The 22,962-nt window shown below is 55.1% G+C and overlaps 1 protein-coding gene across 4 annotated transcripts in view, besides 2 other annotated features; it reads left to right on the top strand.

Annotated features, from left to right (window-relative positions):
* GRM4 (glutamate metabotropic receptor 4) overlaps positions 6,020–22,962 on the top strand; it is a 136,980-nt gene continuing 120,037 nt past the window's right edge. For 3 of the 4 annotated variants that reach the window (NM_001282847.2, NM_001256811.3, NM_000841.4), the window contains exon 1: positions 15,555–15,642. Coding sequence is in view for 1 of the 4 variants with exons in the window: in NM_001256809.3 (NP_001243738.1) it covers positions 6,252–6,563 (312 nt within the window). In the remaining 3 variants the exon portion in view is untranslated. Of the gene's footprint in view, positions 6,564–15,554; positions 15,643–22,962 lie in introns of those variants that run through there. The other variant, NM_001256809.3, reaches the window with a different exon arrangement.
* Positions 6,580–6,809: a silencer, noted in NCBI's record as "silent region_17059". NCBI's record gives its function as "represses an Ori minimal core promoter by ATAC-STARR-seq in GM12878 lymphoblastoid cells {active_cell/tissue: GM12878}" and the evidence as "EXISTENCE:reporter gene assay evidence [ECO:0000049][PMID:35858748]".
* Positions 7,151–8,008: an enhancer, noted in NCBI's record as "H3K4me1 hESC enhancer chr6:34121411-34122268 (GRCh37/hg19 assembly coordinates)". NCBI's record gives its function as "activates a minimal SCP1, AML or CMV promoter by ChIP-STARR-seq in primed H9 embryonic stem cells {active_cell/tissue: H9 hESC(primed)}" and the evidence as "EXISTENCE:reporter gene assay evidence [ECO:0000049][PMID:30033119]".

Genomic DNA, 22,962 nt, shown 5'->3' with positions numbered 1-22,962 from the left:
AGCCTGCTGCTTCTCCTCTGGGCTCTAAGGTTATCCAGGGTTCACCCTGCATAGTGGACAATGTCTGTTCAGAATCCCCCTTTTCCTAGAATCCCCCACCTCCTAGAATCCTCCACCTCCTAGAATCCCCCACTTCCCCCATAACACGTAAAGCAGCCACTTTCTTTTCTTTTCTTTCTTTCTTTTTTTTTTTTGAGACGGACTCTCACTCTGTCGCCCAGACTGGAGTGCAGTGGCACAATCTCAGCTCACTGCAACTTCCACCTTCTGGGCTCAAGCAATTCTCCTGCCTCAGCCTCCCGAGTAGCTGAGATTACAGTCACGCATCACCATACCCAGCTAATTTTTTTTTTTTTTTGAGACAGGTTCTTGCTCTGTGGCCCAGGCTGGCGTGCAGTGGCTTGATCTTGGCTCACTGCAACCTCTGCTTCTGGGTTCAAGCCATTCTCCTGTCTCAGAACCCGAGTAGCTGGGATTACAGGTGTCCGCCACCATGCCTGGCTAATTTTTGTAGTTTTAGTAGAGATGGGGTTTCACCATGTTGGCCAGGCTGGTCTTGAACTCCTGACCTCAGGTGATCCACCCGCCTCGGCCTCCCAAAGTGCTGGGATTACAGGCGTGCGACCGCACCCAGCCCCTACTATTTTTGTCTGATGCCAGGTGGTATGGTGTGTGTGTAATCCCAACTACTCGAGAGGCTGAGGCAGAAGGATTCCTTGAGACTGGGAGTTCAAGTCCAGCCTGGGCAACACAGTGAGATCCCCACTTCTAAATATATATATATATATATATATATATATATATATATATATATATGTGTTTGTGTGTGTGGGGTTGTATAGATATAAATATATATGAGTATATGTGTGTGTATATATATGTATATAAATATATATATGTGATGGTTTCCTCATAATTAGATTCAGGTTAAAACATTTTTAGCAAGAGGCCGGGCATGGTGGCTCACGCCTGTAATCCCAGCACTTTGGGAGGCCGAGGCGGCGGATCATGAGATCAGGAGATTGAGACCATCCTGGCTAACACAGTGAAACCCCATCTCCACTAAAAATACAAAAAATTAGCCAGGCGTGGTGGCGGGCACCTGTAGTCCCAGCTACTTGGGAGGCTGAGGCAAGAGAATGGAGTGAACCTGGGAGGCGGAGGTTGCAGTGAGCCGAGATCGTGCCACTGCACTCCAGCCTGGGTGACTGAGCGAGACTCCATCTCAAACAAAACAAAACAAAGCATTTTTAGCAAGAATGCTACCTAGGTGGTATCATGTACTTTCTGTAGCACATCTGGGGACACACAATGTCAGTGGTGATGCTGAACTGGATCACCTGCTTAAGGTGGAGTCCACCAGATTTTCCATGGTAAAGGTGCCTTTCTCCTTTTCCAGGTTTTTACTAAGATATAATTCAGAGTCCACTATTCCAGGTCAACTTCTCTAAATACTTGATGGGCCCCTTCAATTTGTAGACTCAAGTTGTTCATTTCTAGAAAGTTTCCTCTTTTTGCCTGGGGAGGGGTTATGCTTTAGTTTGATATTTTTTCTGTTGTTTTGTTCTTCTTCAGGCACTCCAATTATGTGTATGTTGGATTATCTTTGCCTATCTTCTTTAGCCATGTCTTTCTCTTTCTCTCTGACATTTAAAAAAATATCTTTTTTTTTTTTGCAACATGGCTCCCTCTGTCACCCAGGCTGGAGTGCAGTGGCACAATCCTAGCTCACTGCAACCTCAACCTCCTGGGCTAAAGTGATCCTCCCACCTTAGCCTCCTGAGGAGCTGGGACTACAGACGTGCACAACTATGCCTGGATACTTTTAAATTTTTTTGTAGAGATGAGGTTTCACTTTGTTGCCTAGACTCGTCTCGAACTCCTGGATGCAAGCAACTCTCCTGTCTCAGCCTCCCAAAGTGCTGAGATTACAGGTATGTACCACTGTGCCTGGTGGAAAACTCTTTTTATTGATTTTATTTCTGTTCTCTTGGCTCTTTTCATTTCTTTCATGAATCTCTTATTATATTTTCCATTAAATTTAATTTCCCCTTAGAGTATCTTTCAATTTATTTATTTAAATATTTTATTTTATTTTATGTTTATATTTATATTTTTTTGAGATGGAGTCACCCAGGATGGAGTGCAATGGCCCAATCTTGGCTCATTGCAAACTCCACCTCCTGGGCTCAAGTGATTCTCCTGCCTCAGCTTCATGAGTAGCTGTGATTACAGGCGTGCACCACCACATCTGGTTAATTTTTGGATTTTTAGTAGAGACAGATACCTGTCTCTACTGTTTCACCATGTTGGCCAAGCTGGTCTCGAACTCCTGATATCAGATGATCTGCCTACCTCGGCTTCCCAAAGTGCTGCAATTACAGGCATGAGCTGCTGTACCTGGCCATATTTTTAATTTTTATTTTTATGGGTGAGTACCTTGCAATTTAATCTTCATTTCTGAAATGATTTTGACTTTTCTTTTTTTTTTTTTTTGAGACAGGGTCTCACTACATTGCCCTGGCTGGAGTGCAGTGGCACAATCTCAGCTCACTGCAACCTCTGCCTCCCGGGCTCAAGGGATCCTTCCATCTCAGCCTCCCATGTAGCTGGGACTACAGGCGTGCGCCACCACACCTAGCTAATTTTGTATTTCTCACTATGTTGCCCAGATCTGTCACTTTTTCTTTAATTTCTTTCCTGATTTTTGTTAACTCTCATTTCCTGCTTTTCCCCTTTTTTGGTCTATTTCTGTTTGGTGTTTTAAAAGTTTTTATTTAAAGGGTGTTTCAGGCTGCAAATGCTTATGTAAGAATACTTAGTTTGGGTTGGAGTATTGTGTTACAGTTTTCTGCTTGGTATTTTTCTGGAGGAGAATTTTCATCAGCTAAAATGTTTTGATTCTCACTTTCTATTTTTTTCTTATAGTAGATTCGTATGAATGTTTGCTTTTTTCAGTTCATGTTGAAATATCTGCTATTTCCCTTGACCAGCAATATAGGCACTTGCAGACAGAAGCAGGGGGTTTGGGTGGATTACTAGGTTTCTTAGTTCAAGGGCACCCTCTTCTAAAGAAATTTTTTTCCCCTAGGCTCTGTTGCCCAGGCTGGTGTGCAGTGGCACCATCTCAGCTCACTGCAGCTTCAACCTCCTGGGCTCAAGCGATCCTCCTGCCTCAGGCCTCCCCCATCTTCCCCCAGTAGCTGGGACTACAGGTGCACACCACCACACCCAGCTAATTTTTGTATTTTTTGGTAGCTATGAGGTTTTACCATGTTGTCTAGGCTGGTCTCGAACTCCTGGACTCAAGTGATCCACCTGCCTCAGCCCCGCAAAGTGCTGGGATTACAGGCGTGAGCCACCACGCCCAGCCTCTAAAGAATTTTTTTAAAAAAATCAGTGATACTTTTGTTGTGGGGAGGGGATGATACGTCTTTTGATTTTGTGATTGTTATTGTTTTGTAAAACCTTTAACTTCCACAGCTTACTCCCTTCTCTGCGTTCACCACCAAGCTTCCAAGGGACACCTTCCCCTTTCGGGTCGCCCCCTCTCCCTTCCACTTCCTCAGCCCTTTCAAGACTGCCACTCTGGCCCTGCACATTCTCAATTCCCCCAGAAGTCCGTGCTCTGATCCACCCAGCATCAGCCCTTTCTCAGCATTGCCCCACTCAGAGCAGGCCTTGCTCTCTCTGGGGTCATTGTTTGTGTCTACACTCAGGCCTTGGCTGCCCTCTCCTCTTTTGTATGGAGTCTCCACCGGACTGTGTACTCTCTGGGCTCCAGACCTTGTTCTGTCATTTTCAGATGTTTATTTCTCTACTTGGTTGTGGAAGGAGTTTGTAGTGCTCCATCCACAGATGATGTTAAGGGCAGGGTGTAGGAATGACTTTCTTTGCTCTCCCTGTTGTTCTGCATGGCTTTGGGGGGCTATGCAAAGAGGCTGGGTTACGGTGGCTGCCATTATCCTAAGGGAGCCTGGAAGGCAGCTCACGTCCTCTCAGTGAACAGCAGTGACCGTCAGCAAGTTACACGTGTGTTGTCAAGTCAGTTCCTGTTATTTTCTTTTACAATTTTTACATTTATTGCTTAAATTGGCCAGAGGCATCCTGCTGTTTGCAGCTGAAGAATCCTAGATGCAGCAGCGTACTTCCTGCCACCTGGATGAGGCTGGATTGCAGGGCGAGGCGGAGGTGAGCTGGAGGGAGAGGTGGAGATGCTTGGAGCTCCTGTTTCAAGCCATCCCGAGTGCAGGGGCATTTCTGGGAACTGGACACCTTTGGAATTCCTTTATTTATTTATTTACAGACATGGTCTCACTCTGTCACCCAGGGTGGAGTGCAGTGGTGCAATCTCAGCTCACGGCAGCCTCAACGTCCTGTGTTCCAGTGATCCTCCCACCTCAGCCTCCTGAGTAGCTGTGACCACAAGCACATACCACCATACCTGGCTATTTTTTTTTATTGTTTATTTTTTGTAGAGACAGGGTCTTCTTATGTTTCTCAGGCTGGTCTCAAACTTCTGGGCTCAAGCGATCCTCCTGCCTTGGCCTCCTAAAGTGTTGGGATTACAGGCATGAGCCACTGCACCCCCTCCATGTATTTATTGAAACAAAACACTTTCAGAGTGAACACACCCATGTCATCAGCACCCAGGTGAAGGACAGAACAGCACCCAGGTGAAGGAAGAAGCCCCCAGGGGCCCCTGCATGTCCCTTTTGGTCTCTACCCACTTCAAAGGTAACCAATATTCTGACTTCTCTCACTATAGGCCGGTTTTTATACTTTGTAGAAATGGAATCACATAGAGTTTGTGCATGTCTGCTTGAGTCTGGCTTCTTTTGCTCAACATTACCTCTGAGTTCCCCCCATGTGGATGTGTAGATGCAGAATATGTTTTGGAGTTGGAAGTGACGGGACTTGGAGATTCATCCAGTGCCCTTGGACAAACCACTTCACATCTCCCACTCAGTCCCTTTGTCTTTCAAATGGGGCAGATGGTGACAATACACAGCTGTTAGTGCTGCAGTTTTCACATCCCGGTCTGTTAACGGACCTGGAATAGGGCAGAGGCCCCAGGGCCCTCTCCCCCACTTTGCCTGAGAGGGTGGGGCCTGGGAGCACTTGAGCTTCAGTTGGCTCCAGTGTGTGAAACTCACACACCTCTCCCTACCCACACACTCCTTGACATTTGCACTTTTAACTTTTAAAATAGCTCTTTTCTTTTCTTCCTTTCTTTCTCTCTTTCTTTCTCTCTCTCTTTCTCTCTTTCTTTCTTTCTTAGATGGAGTCTCGCTCTGTCGCCCAGGCTGGAGTGCAATGGCGCAATCTTGGCTCACTGCAACCTCCATCTCCTGGATTTAGCGATTCTCCTGCCTCAGCCTCCTGAGAAGCTGGGACTACGCGCCTAGTTAATTTTTGTATTTTTAGTAGAGACGGGGTTTCGCCAAGCTGGCCAGGCTGGTCTCAAACTCCTGACCTCAGATGATCCACCCTCCTCGGCCTCCCAAAGTGTTGGGATTACAGGCATGAGCCACCGCACCCGGCCTAAAATAGCTCTTTTCATGGAGTGCCTGCCTGCCCTGGCTCTCCACTCTGTCCCTCTGTCCTCAGCGCTTGGGCCCCTGGCAGGACATGGCTGTATTATTAGTAAAAATATTAAAATATTGCACAGGTAATGACACATGTTAGTGACAATCTCTCTCAGCATATGGGGCTTTAGTTTGCCTGGACAGACATGGCACAGGGCTGGGCGTAGGGGGTTGAAGCCCAACTCCTGGCTAAGTTCTCTTAGCTTCTGAAGATAGAGAACGCCCTATGTACCTCTGGGGCTGTGATGAAGATGAAAGGGGCTACCCCCTGCCAGAGTCTGCCGACGCTGTGCCTATAATGCCTGGCAGCGCCTGTAATGCCTGGCATGGAGGTCTCAGGCGTGGCTGCACCTGGCATCTTCTGGGATAGCTGGAGCCTGGGTCCTCCCGCACACAATCTGGTTTAGGCCGGCGCCGCAGCTCCTGTCCGTAATCCCAGCGCTTTGCTGGAGGATCGCTTGAGCCCAGGAATTCAAGACCAGCCTGGGCAACATGGCGAGACCCTGTCTGTCCCAAAACAAAAAAACAGATTTTAATTGGTTTGGGATGCGGCCTGGACACAGGGAAATTTTAAAGCTCTCTAGGTAACTCCAATGTGCGTCGAGGTTGCGAACCGCCGGCCTGTCACACAGAGGGAGCTCAGGAGATGCTGAGAGTGGGAGGATGCCGGCTTGGGAGCCTGGAGTTGCAGCTTCCTGCGGCTGGCGCGCCCCTCCTTGCTCCCCTCTACGCCTCTGCATCGCACCCCACCCCTGTACCCCACCTTCCTCCCACCAAGGAAACCTCACCTGCCGCCTCCCGCCCAGGTCCTTTGGATTTTGCCGGTGTGTGTGGGTGCGCACAAGAGGCCCCTCCCTGCCAGGAGAGCAGGTGAGCCTGGCCGCGCACGAATCCGAGGGGGCGGCCGCCCAGCTGGGAAGCAGCCCTGAAATAGACCCCCGCCGCCCCCGCTGCCTCCTTCCGGAATCTGCTCAGGTGAAAAACAAGCCTCTCAATCCGGGCGTGTCCCCGGGCGTGGGACGGGGAGGTGCCCAGCACTGTGGGAGGCGTAGACTGGGCCTGGGTCCCGCTCGGACCCGCCCCAGGCCCGGCCGCTGGGTGCAATGAGGGCGTTCGGCCACCGGGCGGCGGTGCTGGCCCGCGATGGGGAGCCTGGCTGGTGGGGCGCTAGGCTCGCGCTCGGGCGCGCGGGAATCGAGGCTCCTCACGTTCTTCTCAGCGATCTTGCCGCGTTTCTGGGGTGGCTGAACTGGCCCTCCATCCTGAGGAGGCCGGCGCAAGGGGCCTGCCCGGGGCAGTGGCACTCCCTTCTGCGGGCACAGAGAGCCGGGCCGGGGTGCCGACTCCCCCCCACGTGTCTGTCTCCCTGCCCTCCTGCTGCTGCTTTTTGTCCCGCATTTCCCACGAGCTTCCTGAAGTCTAAGAGTGTGTGTGTGTGTGTGTGTGTGTGTGTGTGTGTGTGTAGTCAGGACCATCCGTCCATCTAACCTCCCATCTGTCTGTCCATCCGACCACCCACCCATGTCACATTTGTTGCCCAAGGACTGTAAACCAGCTGGACCAAAGAAATGGGGTGGGAAGGGACACATTCCTTCCGGTCTGGGAAGGCAGACCAGTGAGCGGGATGCCTCGGAATTCTGGACTAGGGGTGCTGCTTAAGCTGGGCCTTGAAAGTTGAGGAGGGGGCTTTTGGGTGCCGAAGAGAAGGTAATTTGGCCACAGAGGTGAGAACGAGAGGGCCCAGGGGCTGGGCTGGGCTGGGGTCGGGGAGCAGGACCGCGGTGAGGGGAGGTGTGTGCGGGGAGCCGTGCTCACCATCTCACAGGGCCATCGCAGCAGCCTGAGCTGTGGGCTTTATCTTCCTCTCCTTACCAATGAGGAAACCTGGGCTGGAGAGGTCAAGTGCCCACGCAGTGGGGAATGTCACAGCCCAGGCTGAATACGGCTGAATGTGGCTGTGGAAAGAGCCTAGCCTTTAACACAGAGCGTGACACTTGGGAGAGTGCTGTGCCAGGGTCAGCCCGCACCCACAGACAGTCCCAAACACCCCATGTGGTCCTGGACCTGGCGCTGGCCTCCCAGGAATACAGGGGGTCTTTCCTGGCTTCAACTTTTTTTTTTTTTTTTTGAGACAGAGTCTCACTCTGTTGTCAGGTTGGAGTGCAGTGGAGTGATCTTGGTTCATTGCAATCTCTGCCTCCCAGGTTCAAGTGATTCTCATGCCTCAGCCTCCCCAGTAGCCGGGATTACAGGCATGTGCCACCACGCCTGGCTAACTTTTGTATTTTTAGTAGAAACGGGGTTCACACCTGGCTAACTTTTGTATTTTTAGTAGAAACGGGGTTTCACCATGTTGGTCAGGCTGGTCTTGAACTCCTGACCTCAGGTGATCCGCCCACCTCAGCCTCCCAAAGTGCTAGGATTACAGGTGTGAGCCACCACACCCGGTCCTGGCTTCTACTTTTGTGCCCCCAAGTTTCCTGTGGTTCTGTTCTCCCCGCTCACAGCTGCTCACAGGAGAGCGTCAGCCATGACCTCTGCAGTGTTCGGCAAAAGGCTTTGCCCCTGGGCAGGCAATTCAGTTTTGTCAACAGGTGGGGAGCACTTGGTGGGGACAAGCCAAGGCAGTCTTGGGGTTCCCAGCAGTCCTGAGGATGGAGATGCCCGGAGTGTGGGGGATGGAGGCTTGGAGCTGGGCTGGCCAGAATCTGGGGCAGGGACTGAGGCCAGAGACTGAGCCAGGCATGAAATCTCTGTGCAGCCCTGGCCTCTCTGGGCCCTGCGTGCGTGTCTGTACCCTGAAGGGGTGATGCAGATCCCGGAGGTAGGGAGGGCTGAGGAGAGGCTCAGGGGTGGGGATATAGGGATGAGCTGGGTGTGTGCGTCGGGGAGCCCTGGGTTTTCTGCCAAGGTCCCTTCTTGTCCAGGGTGGAGTCCATATGTCTCAGCAGGTGAGGAGGTCTCCAGGGTCGCACCGCAGGGGCTCACACCTGGACCCTCCCTCCTCTGTGCCTCTCAGCTTCCCCATTTGTGGAGTGGAATCATTGCACTGGCTGGTCCATCACAGGGCTGTTGTGGAGACTCTGATGAGCACCTGGCATGCAGCAAGGGCTCCGGTGTGCCACCTACTCCACCCCCAGCCTGGGTCTCTGCAGGCCCTGGCCCTCCTGAGATGCCCCACCTTCCCATCCCCAGCCACCCTCCCACCTTGCTCCTGCCTGTCCCCCTTGTCTTCCATTGTGGGGGCCTCATACCCCACTCCAGCTGGTTAGAATTCTATTAATATTTCAGTTTGATGAATTAAAGATTCTTTTCTACCCTCATTCTGATGTCCCAGGAGGGAATTAAAAGCGCATCGGATCCAATCAAACGCCATTAAAATGCAGCCCACGAGGGTAGGAGCTGGCGTGTGGGCTTTTCTTCCCCAGCACTGCTTTGTCCTCTTTGGGGGGTCTAGGTGATGGGTCGGTTGCTGGGAGGTGGGTACAGGAAGAGAGGGAGAAAGCTGAAGAGGAGGAGGAGGACAAGGGGTGTTTGCAGAAATGCTGCTGCCTCCTTCGAGGGGAGCAGAATCCTCCCCACCCCTGTAGCTCATGTTTCCCCAGGAATGAGGAGGACAGAGTTGGGGGCAGTGCAGCTGTGACCTCAGCCCCAGGACCAGACCACAATACCCCTTCTCCTCTGCCTTGATGGGACTTTTTCCAGGGCAGTGCAGCCTGCCTGGTGTCCGTGCTGGAGATACCGCAGCAGCCAGGCTTGGAGGTGGCCTGAGTGGGATGCGGGCTCCTCCAGGCTCTGCCGGTGGGAGGTCCCGGGGCCTACGTCCAGCTCTCTGTCTTGTCAGCTGTCTGGGTCCTGCTTGGGAAGGAGCAAACATTGTCCATGGAGTTTCCTAAGTAGAACCAAGGCTAGAGTGTGGTAGGGGGACATTGACAGAGGGGCCCACCTGGTATTCTCAACTGCCGATCAGTTAACGAGCTTGTGTGGTCTTTGCCCTGTGCCAAGGGGCCTGGAGCTTGCTTGGAAGACAGGGGCATCAGACACAATCTAAGGCCCCAGTCGTGAGGTCCCTGGCCCTTGAAAAGCATTTCTCACTCCATTCTTTCATCCCCCAAACTGCCCCGAGTGGCCTGCCACATTGGGACTCACATTTGGCAGTGGATGACGCTAAGGCTCAAAGTAGTGGAGTGCCATGGAACACTCACTTGTGAGGACCCTGAGTGCTGTGGACAGTGTCCACACTGGTCTGTTCGTGGAGTGTGTGCAACAAGATCCTGGAAGAGTGCAGTGGAGAGCTCGGAAAAAGGATTGGAGGGTCTGAGGAAGATGGGTGGGGTGGGGGTGGGGGCGGGGTGGGCAGCGCTCCAGGTTGGGGGCAGTGAAGCAAGGACACTGGCCTCCCAGGGCACCGCCTCCTGCAGGTCTCCTCCCAGGGCCAGGTGGACTGCGCCCCTCCCGTGCCTGTCACCTGGCTGCTCCCCCTGGCGCCCGGAGCCCTGCCACTCTGCCGAAGGAGCAGGCGGCCACGAGGTCTTGGGCGGAAGGGGCTTTTAAATGTTAATTGTATTTTGACATCCCGGCTTGTGACATCCATGCTAATGACATTTGGCTCACGGCTGACAGCCCCCGGACATGTGGAGAGAGAGATGATAAGTTGTTTTAAATTGCAGCGAGGCAAAGAGGCTGGAAAATCGTGAGTCTTAAGAAAAAAGAGACAGGGAGAGGACCAAGAGAGAGAAGGAGGAGGAGAAAGAGTCTTTCTAGGTGGGTCGTTCATTCATTCATTTAACAATTTGTTGGACAATAAATTCTTACTGTAAACTCGGCACAGTGTCAGCCCAGTGGAGGGCCAGGTGCTCAGTCTGGCCGTGTATCCCACTCCCCCTTAGCTAGGTCTCTCGGCTCTTCTAAATCCTACTTGTCTTTTAGGGTCTAATTCAAGGGGAGGCCTCCTTTGACCTCCCAGCCTCAGCCATCCCTGCCTTCCTGGCCACTCTTATGCTGGAGGCAGCACCAGGTGCTTAGCGCATGGCAGGGCGTGGGAGGGGCACAGTCAGGACCTGTGCCTGCGTCCTCTGCTTCATACCACCAGGACCTGTGCTTTAGGGGTGACCCATTGAGCACCCAGCCTACCACTTGCTGCCCTGCTCTGAGAATAAGGCGCAGTCCCGAATCCCACCATCCCTCCCTTCTTTTTGAATAAAGTGCTTCCTCCTCTCTGCCCAGTGGCAGGAGGAATTTCACTCTGGCTTCTCTCAACTTCTGCCCCGTGGCCGCTGGAAAGGAAGAAGCAGTTTTCCTGCTTCCTCTGCTTTTCCTTTCTCATATTCCCTCCCTCTTCAGCCCTATAGGTGGGGAAACTGAGGCTGGGGAAGGGAAGTGGAAGCATCATCTCTCAGGTCAGGGAGCCCTATAGGCGGGGAAACTGAGGCTGGGGAAGGAAAGAGGAAGCATCATCTCTCAGGTCAGGGAACTCTGGAGCAGACAATTGGAAAGGCTCAAGTTGACCTTGGACCACTCGTCTCCTTCACCCACCCCACTCACAGCCCTTCTGCCCACCCCCCAGCCACTTGGTGAGCATCCCCTCCTTCCCAGCTGCCTTGACCTCCATGCAAGTGGGAAGAGACAGAGACCCCAGCCTAGCCTCTAACTCTCTGTCCTGCACCCCCACTCTTGCGGGGTGCTCCTGCAGCATGTGTGAAGGCCTCTCTAGCATGCTGGTGCCAAATGTACTCTATCATAAATCCTCACCTACCTGCTCCTGCTTAGTCCTGGGTGAATGCATTTAGCAGAGCTGTGTTCAGATCCAGCTCTCTCTGCTCTTAGCCTGCTTGGCCCCAGCCAGTCTCTCTCCTCCTTCAGCCTGCCAGGGCAGGTGGGGTACAGGTACAAATGCGCTGTGTACCTGGGAAAGCCCTTAGTCCAAATGGGATGATTACAGGTGCAAGGCCCTTATCTGAGACCCTTGGGGCCAGGTCTTTTTTGGAATTTAGAAAGATATTATGGTGCAAATGCCATACAGTATGCAATACCCCCAGGAGGCCTGGGGCAGTATCCTGAGAGCAAATTTGGGCTGGCCTTCCTGCAGTGCAACAGACAGTGTTCCCCCACCAAGGCACTAGGCAGGGGCAGGGAATAGCTTTGATGCAAGTTTTGTTGCCAGTTGAGTTGCCGAAAACTATGGACAAACTTGTGGCTTTCAGAGCATTTCGGATTTTGGAATTGTGGAAAGGGGAGTTTAGTCTTAGTCAAGTTATTACTCCAAGCCAAAAGCTGGAGAAAGTCCCAGAGAGGTGGGAGGATTCCTGGAGGCTGGATTCATACTGGCCTGAGGGAAGAGCAAATTCCCAGGGCTCTGTCCCCTAGCCATCAAAGGTGTCACTCATACCTGTCCCAGCCTGTCCCGAGCAGGCTGTGGGAATTTCTAAGTGCCCTTGAGGTGAAGGAGCGGGGCTGAGGTGACCTCTGGAGGCAGGACAGGGACAACTTACCCCAGGATTGTTAACCCGGGGCCCTAGCCCCTTGACCTCAGCCCATGGCTCCTCCTCAGTGCCTGCGGGGTGACTTACGGCTCCCTGGAGAGCCTGGGGCCACTGCATTCTCTTTGCAGTCAGCTCTTCATCCTGAAAATGTCCTGCCAGGGGACAGTTATTGTTTAAACAGACTCCCCCATCAGAGACATTTTCATCTAATGGCCTGGTTTAGGGGAAACCAAAATTGAAACCCATCAGACACAGAGGCTGAGGTGATGGCTGGGTCAGCTCAACACGGAAGCATTTATCAGGTGTTCTGGGTCTGCTCGGTTCTCTCAGGGAATCTGCACCTCCAGGCTCACTTTATTTCAACAAATCCTAAAGGTCAGGATTTTCAAAGACAATTGTCCTCCTCTATTAGGATTCTTTCAAAAGGTTGGGGGGGAGTTGCTTTCCCTCACCAGGGAGGCCAGAAAAAGAGCAGGAAGAAACAATCTGATGCAGCAGGAGGGAGTTAGGTCAGACCTCAGGAAGAACTTCCAGGTCACACAGGTATGAAACACAGGCTCAGGACTCTGTATTATTATTTTCTCTAGAACTCCCTGCCTCTCTCTCTTCCCTTCACCCTTCCCCTTCCCCTGCAGAGATGGTGTTGCCATTTCCCTGGATGAGGACTGGTGCAGGAACGGGCGGGTCAGCATCACTCCCTGCTTACTCCACGAGTAGCAGGCCAGCCTCCTTTAAAGGTTTAAGAGTGAGACCCAGTTCTGAATCCCAGCATCCTTAGGGAGACCTTGGCCCAGCCCCTGGTCTCACTGATGGGAAAACCAATGCTCAGAGAGGCTGGGGGGCTCCCCCACGTCACATGGTTCTTAGCGCAGAAGTCTCGGCTTCCTGGTTTCCCACCTTGTGTCCTCTTCCCCTCACCCCAACTCTTCCCAGTCAGAGCACGACTTACAGGGGAGGCAGCTTGTTGGAGACACGGTTAGAAATCAGGCCTTGGAGCAGCTGGTCCAGGCCAAGTCCCTTGAAACATGACTCCTTGAGGTCATCTCTGATTGCTTTTCTCCCACAGCATGGTCCCCTAGCTCCCCCAGGGCAGGGGACGCCACTGGAAGTTCTTTGAGGTGTGTGTGTGTGTGTCTCTCAGTGTGTGTGTTAGTCTATGTGTCTGTGTGTGTGTCTCTGTGTGTGTGTGTGTGAGTCTGTGTTTGGGTCTCTGAGTCTGTCTCCATGGCAAGTCAAGTCAGCCACGACCCAGCAGAGAGAACAAGAGTGAGAAGAGCGTGCCCCAGCTGGGCAAGGGGGGCCCACAGGTGAGGGCCGCTGACGGAGCGCTTGGCCACTGTGATGGTCTGGAGGCCCGGGGTGGTCAGGATGTTGCCCGGAAGAGCTAGGCCTCAGGCTGGGAACCTGCAAACTGGACGAGTCCACAAACTCAGCCATCTGCCAGCCAACAGTGTTTCTTTTTTTAACCCCTGAAAAATATAGCCTGCCCAGCCTTCTGCGACACAGCTGGTGGGGGGCGGGGGGTGGGATAATTATGGCCAGAGTGAAAGCAACACTGAGGGGCAGGGGGTGGGGAGAGTGGCTGGGTTTGTTTTATCTCTCAATAAACCATGGCCCATGTTATCTTCACTTTAATTAGTTCATTCATTCATTCATTCATTCATTCATTCAACAAAAGTATATTGAGGATTCTGTTCTGTGTTAAAAATTTCAGTGGCTCCCACTTACAGCCGCCTAAATACAGTACTAGGTGCTGGGCATACATTATTTCATTCTGTTTTTATGAACACCTTGTAAGTAGGGCCCCAGTCACTAGCCCATATGGTACCTCTGAGAAGATCAGAAAAAGGAAACCCATCTTTTGGGCAGACACAGCCACAAGTCAGGATGTGTCACTTGTCAAGACCAAGGCAGGGTGAATTTGAGCTGTCCTGAGCCCCCTCAACTGGGTGGCCTCTTGGCAGTGAACGATGCACACCCCATACCTGCAGTTCTGCTTTGAGATTAGTGTCGTAATCCTTGTTCTACAGATAGGAAACTGAGGACCTTGAGCAATGTGACCCAGACATGCACATGTGACACAGGCGGGTTTGAACCCAGGCAGGCTGTTCCCAAGAACACTGCCTCTCCAGGAATAACTTGAGTTCCCTGCAAGCCCAGAGCAGTGCACACTTGGCTGGGCAGAGCTGCTGGGCAGCAGGAACTTTCAAGGCCTTTGCTTATATCTCTACAAAATGTGTGGTGCTGAGGTCCGAATGGCCACGGGGTGCACTCCTCAAGGGCAGAACTGCGTTCAGTCGTGTGTTTACACCTAGAGCTGGGAATGGAGCAGGACCTCAGTCAGTGTTGTTTGCATTAAAAAAAATAAAAGCATGAATGAATGAACAATCTGGGTGCTTCCCTCAGAGACTTCAGACCGATTGGGTAAATGAGACATGTATTTGGGTCATTACATGTGACAGCAAAGAGAGTGCAAGCTTTGCCAACATTTATTCACTCACCAAACATTCCTTGAGCTTACGCTACCGTTCAGGCATGGTGCCAGGCTCCATGGCCAAATGATGCTGAACGAGATGTGGTTTTGGCCTAGCATAGTCTGGAGATCTGGAGGAGGTGGAGCCTAAGCAGGTCTTCAGGAAAGGGCAGGAGCATGGAAAAGGGCAAGGAGGGAGAAAGGGCAGTCCAGTTGCAAGGGATGGGGGTCTGTCCCTGTTATTCCCAGACCCTCCCAGACATTCCCCTCACCTAATTTCCCCTGTAGAAATTAGGGTTGGCCGAGTCCTGCCAGGCCTGGGCATCGTCAAGCACAAGGTAGCACTTGGCAGGTCAGCCGGGGGTCGAGGTACTGATGGGGAGGGAGGCCTCTGGCCAACCTCTCCAGCTCTGCTGCCTGCCACCTTCTTCCCCCAGCTCTCTGGCACAGTGTTGTGCTCCCTCCCCAGGACAAGGACAGTCACACATCACGGCTCTAATTGAAGCCGCTTCTGCAGTCTGGGGTGAGATGCTCTTGCAATCCTAAGAGGGCTGCGTGGCTCCCTCACTTCCACGCTGCCTGCCTCTAGCAACACTCTCCTGAGAGTTTTCAAGCCCCCTCTGGGAAGGGGGCGAGCTGGCTTTATGGTTGGCTAAGGGATTCTTCCCGAGTCTCACTGCAGCCTGCCGACCAGGAGGCCACCTGTTACACTTTTGCCATCCAGTGCTGGAGGGAGACCAGCGGGTGGGGTGTTTCCCTAGCCTGGTGGGGTTTTGAGGTGGTAAGGGGGCTCTGTGGAAAGTGTCCCCTGGACAGGCTGTGAGATCTGGGGCAAGTGGAGTCACCTCACTGGGCCTCAGTTTCTCCCCTTGTTATATACTTGAATCAGGAGCAGTGGGGTGTGCAAATGAACATGCCACATGGGGGCATACGCCACGTGCGCGCGGATGTGTGAGGTTCCAGTGACGCACCAGGGTGGGAGTAGCGCGCCCCTCTGCGTCCCTGTGCTTTGCTGTACTTTTCTGGGTGTGTGTTAGGGAGGCTATGTTCCTGACCCTCCCCCTCTGGGGTGAGAAGGGGTCCCCGCCATGTCCTCGGGGTAGGTGAGCTGGCACGCGCACGGGGAGGAGGAAGGGGGGGGCTTCCGGAAGAGGGCGCCGGTGGGGTGTGGTGGAAGGGGGAGCTGCCAGCAGGGCGGGTGTGGAGGGGTGGCGGAGCGCCGCGAGAGCCCTGGCCTTCCGGAGGTGGAGGTGTGGGGTAGGGGGTGGGCTCCAGGTGCTCTCTCTTTAAAAGGCCGGCAGAAGCGCCGTGAGCTTGGCCCGCACTTTCAGCGCAAACTTGCCGGATTGGTCTCGTGCCTCCTCGGGTGCAGCAGCGGCTGTGGGCGCCGGGGCAAGCGGCTGCGGCCCCCTCGCCCCCTTGCGCTTCCCGGCTCTCCCGCCCTCTCCCGCAGCCTCCCCTCTCAGCGCCTTCCTCGCTCTCTCGTCTCTCGCTCCCTCTCTCGCTCGCTCTCCAGCGCGCTCTCTAGCTCGCTCTCATTTTTTTTCCTGCTGCTGTTGCCGCTGTTGCGGCGCCGCCAGGCGCCCGTACCTCGGCCGGCTGCGCTCGCTGGTCGCTCCCGCTCCGCTCCCTTCCCAGCCCGGAGCTCTCGGCCAGACCCAGCTCCTCTTGCCGCCTCTCCCGCTCCTTCCGGCTCGGACGCCGGGCTCCGCCGCAGCAGGAGCAGGGGTTGCCGCCGATCTCCCTCTCGCTTGCTCGCTTGCCGGAGCAGCAGCCGAACGCCGCGCGCTTGGCGGCGGCTCCGGCCGGGCGGCCGCCAGCTCATCCCTGCTGCGTCCCGGACTCCGGGCGGCTCCGCGGCGCGCTGGGTCCGCAGCGTCAGCGCTGCCCGCCGCGGCCCGGGCTCTGGGCACCGCGAGAACCGTGCCTCCGGCCGTCGACTGCCTGCGCCCCCGGGGCAGGCCGGCACGCAGCCGACCCCTCGCCGCGGCTTAAACCTTGCTGGCGCGCGGTGAGTTGTGGCCCGAGGGGGACCGACAGAGGGGACCGTGCCCTCCGGCCTCCTGGGGCGAGGGCTGCGGCGGGGACATCGGGGCTCGGGGAGGTGGCCTCCGGCGAGCTCCCGCGCTTGGAGTGCTCCGAGGAGAGCTGGCGCCCCCGGAGCCCTAGGGGCCGGAGGGCGCGGGATCTGAACTAGAGGGTCTCCCCTCGGGGCTAAGGCAGGCTTTCCGGGTGCCCCTGAGGGAGGGAATGGGGCAGAGGCTTTTTTGCGGGCCCGGTGGAAAGTACTGTCTCTGTATACAGGGGCTTCCACCGGATGGAGGGTCGTGCCAGCTTTCAGGTGGGGGCGGCGGCATTAGCGCATCCCGGTCTGCGGAGAGGCGGGACAGGCGGGGGCGCGGGGCATTATTTGCACCTCTTCCCGGCAGTCTCCCGGCGGGAGGGCACCCAGCCTCGCGCGCCTCGGCTCCTTTCCCAGGCACCGCGTCCAGCTCCCGTGCCCGCCCCAGCGCCGCCTTCGCCAGCGGCCGGAGCCCGGCAACCGCTTGCCCGTGGCCTCGGCAGGTTGTGGGGGTCTCTAGGGTCTGGGGTCTCCCTGCAGCCCCAGGACTTCAGGGTCAGGCTCTCTCCGGACACTCGGGACCGTCCCTCCCCGGGACCGTGATGAACCTGCGCGTCTACGCGGCCGCCGGGCGAGCGGACCGGCAGTGGTCTCTGTGTGTGCATGTGTGTACGCGCGTGTGTGCTGGGGGTCCCCGCTCCGGGGTCGGTCTTCCCCGGCGCTCGCAGGTGGGAGGCGTCTCCTCCCCGCGCGGGGGCGGGGCCGGGAGGTGGAGGCCTCGACTGCGAGAGGCGCCCCCGCACCAGGGCGGTCTGAGGCTGTTTGTGCTGAGATGGGGCAGCAGCATCGGCGGCGGCAGGGAGTCCTGAGGCCCGAACGTACGAGCGCCCCCTGCCCCTAGGCCTTGAGTGACATCCCGCCCTCAGACTTTCAGTCCCTGTCGGAGGAGGCGCCTTGCTTCTTTCTCCCCTCTCCGCACCATTGCCGGCCCCTGGCGCGGGAGAACGCGGCCTTTCCGGACACCGACTGAGCTGGGCTTGCCTAGCTGGGTGCCCGAAGCCACGTGTCTCTCAGAGCGGTGGCTGCCCCTGTGTCAATCTGGCAGAAAGCCCGAAGTGACAGGGAGGGAGGGGCATGTATGTTCCCATCATAGTCCCTCGCCTTGTCCGTTCTGGGGTGAGTGGGGGCCTAGGGCAGGCAGGGAGACCAGTGCTCCCAGGGTCTCCATACGGAGCACCCCATCCCACACCCTGCCATTCTGCAGCGCTCAGCCTCCCGCCCCGGGGCCAGCCAATGGTGGACGTGAAGAATGCTCTCATACCCATCTGCCCACACTCCCGGGATGCGTCCTGGGCTAGCCCCACTTTCCCCCGGATCCCAATGGGATGCTGAACCTCAGGCTCTGGTTCTGCATGCTCAGCTCCTCAGAGCCCAGAAGGGCCTCAGGGCCTTCCGGCCTAGGGTAGGGGGAAGCTTTCATGAAGAGGGGAGGACTAGCAGGAGCCCTTTCGGAGGTGGCAGAACTTCCGCAGAGGCCTCTGGGTACTCTGGGGTGTGAGCACCCATAGCGCAGGGGCCTCGTCACCTCTTCTTGGCAGGCCCTGGGGACTGCTGAACCGGCTCTCGAAATGGGCCTGGCTGCGGTGGAGAGTGGAGGTTGGAGCCTTGTCCCCTCTCTCACTTCCTGGAGGGCTTCACCAGCCCTTAGTCAGATCCTGTCCTTGGGGTGCGGTGGGCGGGGGGCTTTGAGGATGGTGCCTCCAAGCCTCTGCTCAGCACTGGGCTGGGCGTGATGTCCGCTTGTGAATTGGGTGGCCGCTGTCTTTATGTTCCTCCAACTTCTGTCCTTTTACACATAAGCTTTTGCCTACCTGCCAATACCTTCACACCTGTCAGGGACAAAAATACCTCAAAAGTTATCCCCCCCACACCCCGCACCTTAGCCACTTCAGGGACTACCCTTTCCAGGGGCATCTGCATTTAAGAGAGACGGGAGAGGAAGATGGCAAGGCTTAACCCAAAGGAGTGCTCTACCCTACTCATGGATTCTTAGGCATTTTCAGGAGCGAGATATATTGGTGGGGGGGTGGCAGCATGTAGCTCGTCACCAAGCACAGGTCCTGAGCAGGCGGAGGGGAGGCGGGAGCATGTCAGGAGTTGAGCTGCTTTCTGGGCCTCAGTGGCCTTGCGTAGGCCGCTCCTCCTCCCCCCCTCCTCCCTCCTCCCCCAACCTGCGTCTGGGCGGCTTCATTCCGTTGGAGGCGTGACTTCTCTGAGAGGGAGCGCCTTGCACAGCGGCAGGCAGCCCGAGGTAGGTGAGAGAGCGAGCGGGTGAGCGATCGAGTGAAACTGGAACTGAGCAGTGTGCTAGCCAGAAGGGTCAGGGGGCCGGGTTCAGGCCTAGAAGGGCTCTGCAGCTCCCACTCACTTCCTGAGGGGTCCACAGTCCAGCGCCAGGATGTGTGGCCACACCCATCCCCACCCTGCTGCGGGGGACAGCTGGCAGCAAAAGATGGGAGCAGAACCCACAGGCTCCTTAGCTGAATAATTACTGCCGATAGACGTGTCCTCTCTCCTAGACAAGTGTGGAGCCTGCAGCCTCTAATTACCACCCACCCCAAGATATCTGCCCACCCCACTGTCCTCCTCTGCTCGGTCTAGAACCCAACTTTCCAGTGGGCAGGACGCACTGGCAGCCTGGACAGCTGGGCCTGCCGGCTGTTGGCTGGCAGGTTATCTCATTTCTGCAGAGTGGCGGCTGCCTTTGCCTCCTGAAGAAGGCATGTGGGGAGCTGGCATTGGAGCTCTGGCCCCACTCACCGGGGCTGCAGAAGAGCTGCTGGCTGTCTTGGCGGGCCTAAGGGGCTTGCACTGGTGGGCATGGGCCTGGAGCACTGGACACCAGCTCTCTGTCACTCCCACTCAGACTGATGGCTCCTGGAAAGAACGGAGAGGGCTCATTTTCTTAAGTGTCACCTCTGCTGTAGTTAGCAGGGGACTATAAAAAATTAAGTTAGAGGGTTTTGCTGCCTTTGGTCCCTGTAGAGTGCAGGCTGCTTTTTCTTGGTCCTGCGAGCTGTTTATGTCTCTCCTCTCTCTGTGTACTCTCTCTGGGCTCCCTCTCCCTGCTGCCTCCCAGATGAACCTGAGGCTGGTAGTTCCTCCTTCACAACTAATTCCTTCTCCCTGCCTGCCCTGGGGGCTTCTGCCTTGGTTTCCCACTTCTCCCCTCCACCTGGCTTGCCTTGCCTGAGCCTGCTCCTGGAAGGGAGGCATGTCAATGGAACTTGCTTAGAAGAGATGAAGCCTGCTAGCTAGCAGCCAGCCCACCCCGCGGCCCTGCCCACCCCCGCCCCTCGACTGCAGGCCCGAGAGACTGTTCCAGTCTGTCCATGTTTCTCTTGGCTCCTTGGAAAAACGAGCACCACAAGGATAGTAAAAATCACCCCTTAAATTAAAGCTGATGACTCCTGTCAAAATGTTTTATTATTAACCTCACCATTTAGCAATCTCGTGGCAGCAGTGAGGCATCAATGTATGTGTACACACGTATATTAAATAAATTGGGGAACGCAGTGCATAATGACATTATCTGGACCCCATTCAATTAAGGTAGATATTATCTGTGGTAATTGGGAAATGCCAGCCCATAATGCCAGCCCACGCCATTTGGGGCCGAGCCATGCTGACAGGCAGGCCGTGGTGTCTAGCTAAGGCTCTCAGTTCTCCCGAGAAGGCACTGGTCGCCCATTGGTGGTGATGATGGTGAGTCCCAGGAGAGCCTGGACAGCTGCTCTCCCCGGGCTGGGCCACCAGCATGGGAACCAGGAGGTCTGGGTTCCACCCAGTCCTTCACACTTGGCTCTCCCAGCCACCCCTCTGTTCCTTAGGGTGACACAAGCTAGCCCCTGGATCTATTTCCTGGTTAGGGGCATGACTTCTAGTAAAAACTCTGTCATTGCTACAGGGTTATTTTTAGGTTTAAATATAGAAATAAAGATTGGAGACTCGACCTGATTCCTAAGCTTGTGGAGGGTGATTGCTTCTCAGGTATCACTCACTGCCTCTTTTCAGTGCCTGACCTCGGTGCAGCCGAGGGATGGAAGTCTCCCCACCAACCACAGTTATATTCATGCGGTGCAGTTTGGATGTTGATTGGGCTAAGCCAGTGGCCCCTGCTTTCCAGGGCAGTGCTGGGTTGTTGAGGGGACAGGAAGAGGGAGGAGAGAGGAAGAAGCAGTATTAGTGGCGAAGGCCAAAATAGTAACAGCTGCAAACAAAGACACTTGCCCACTTGGGTCTTGTGCTGGAAAACTAGAGATGGCGGCATGTAGGGATGGGGAGGAGAGGCCTGGGGGTCTGCATGGTTGGGGCTTGCTGGATGGAGGAGATCCAGGCAAGCGTGAGCCTGGTGGCTGGTCCCCTGGCTCTGGGAGAGGAGGAAGGTCAGGGTGGGGTATTTTCTAGGCTGAGCAGGGAGGCCCAAGGGCTGATGAGATGTGCTTGCCTTGTCGATGGGACTTGCTGCTGTGAGCTGCTGTGGCCTTTGCACGTGGCTGTCCTTCTAAGTCTCAGGTTTCTCTGGTGATGAGTCCCTGCCTGTGCTGTGCTCAAACCCTTCTGTGGCCCCTCATTTCCCTGTCCACACCGTGGTCGATAAGGTCCTGTTGATCTTGTGTTCCAGGCCCTCTCTGACTTCATCGCATCAACCCTCTCCCCACTGCCCCCTGGTCACGTTGGCCTCCTTGCTCATTCTCGAACATCAAGTGCCAAGCCTGTGCCCACCTCAGGGCCTTTGCACTTGCTGTTCTTTCTCTTTGGAATCCTCTTCTCCCAGATGTTCACATGGCTCATGCCTTCACTGCTTTTACTCTAGGATCAAATGCCACTTCCCCAGAGAAGCCTTCCCTGATTATTCTTTTCTGAAAAAGCCCTTCTGGGTCATTCCCTGTCCCCTTATCTGCCTTATTTTTTTTCATATCGCCTGATCCCCTGAAGTCCCAGCCATCTATATGTTCAGGTATTTGTTGTTCGTCCTGTGCCCACCCGCTTTGGGACGTGGGCTCCAGAGGGCAGGCGTCTGTGCCTGTTTCACTCCCAGTGTTTCCCCAGCGCCCACCCAGAGCAGAGGCTGGTGCACAGTGGGTGCTCAGAGCACCTTTGAATGTCACACCGAGGGACTGAATGGTTGTGACAGAGGGGACTGTCTTCTATGCTTGAGCACACAACAGAGTTGTGAGAATTCAGTGCGAGGTCCGAGTGCCACTCTGGACCGGGCGCACTGCTGCAGATCCCCTGTCCTGGGCTTTGCTCTGGGCAGGGCGCTGGCTTTGCCTGGTCAGTTACTGAGTCTTTCCTGTGTTCTGAACCTCGGACTGGGCGTGGGGAACATAGAGATGAGGGCAGTGCTGTCCATGCAGGCCTTTAATGTGCTCCCAGCCTGGTCATTGTTAACATGAGAGAGGTTCTGTGTCATTAACTGCGGAGGAAGGAGATGACAAGAATTGTAATAATCAGGGCAGGCTTCCTGGAGGAGGAAGGATCTCAGCTGCTTCTTGAAGGGAGAGCTTCACAGAGAGGAGGCTGGAGGGAATCATAGGTTGGGGGAAGGCAGGGGCAATGGATTTAAAGTTTTCTGCTCCAAGTTTACACTGGCATTAGGCAAAAGAATTACTTCCTCTTTCCCTAAGAATTACCTTCCTTTTTTCCCTCCCTGCTCTCCTCTGGGGCATTCCACCCCATGCCCATGACAGAGCCAGTTGCCTCTGAATCAGGGCCCTGTTGTTTTGGCAGAACAGGGAGGGGACAGCTTGTGGATTGGGGTCTGGGATTTCTGACATCAGGAGGCTTCCTGGTCGAGGCTGGTGAGCCGGAGCAGCTCACGGGGGAAGGAAAGGGAAGCCGGTTGGGGCCAGACCCCCACTGTGCTTCTTGCTCTTAGCTCTTAGCATGCGGCTGTGGCCATTCTGGCTGACTGCCTGGGAGCAGGGCTTCTCTTTAGGCAGAATAAAGCCCCAGCTGGCCTGGGGTGGGTTGAAGGTTCCAAGATGCCTCCTTATAGCTGAATCAATCCTTAGTTTCCCTGCCTGAAACTATGCCTCACATTCCACCATTAGAATCAGTCCTGTGGGTTAAAGAGTTGCTTATGGAAGGGGCCTTAAACACAGAGATAGATTACTTGAACGAGAGGCCCTGGAATCATTTGGCTCACATCACGTCATTCATTCACCTCCACAAAGCCTGCTGGGGATGCCAGGCTCTGTGCAGGACTGGGCTGCAGAGGTCAGCACGAGGAGGGCTGTGCTGCGAGGATTTGAAGGGCTAACTGGTCATCCACCTTCCCCATGGCCTGCGAGT

The sequence above is a fragment of the Homo sapiens genome, chromosome 6 (assembly GCF_000001405.40).
Source record: "Homo sapiens chromosome 6, GRCh38.p14 Primary Assembly".
Classification (NCBI taxonomy): Eukaryota; Metazoa; Chordata; class Mammalia; order Primates; family Hominidae; genus Homo; species Homo sapiens.
The sequence above is the reverse complement of the archived record's forward strand: the minus strand, read 5'-3'. Positions and strand labels throughout refer to the sequence as shown.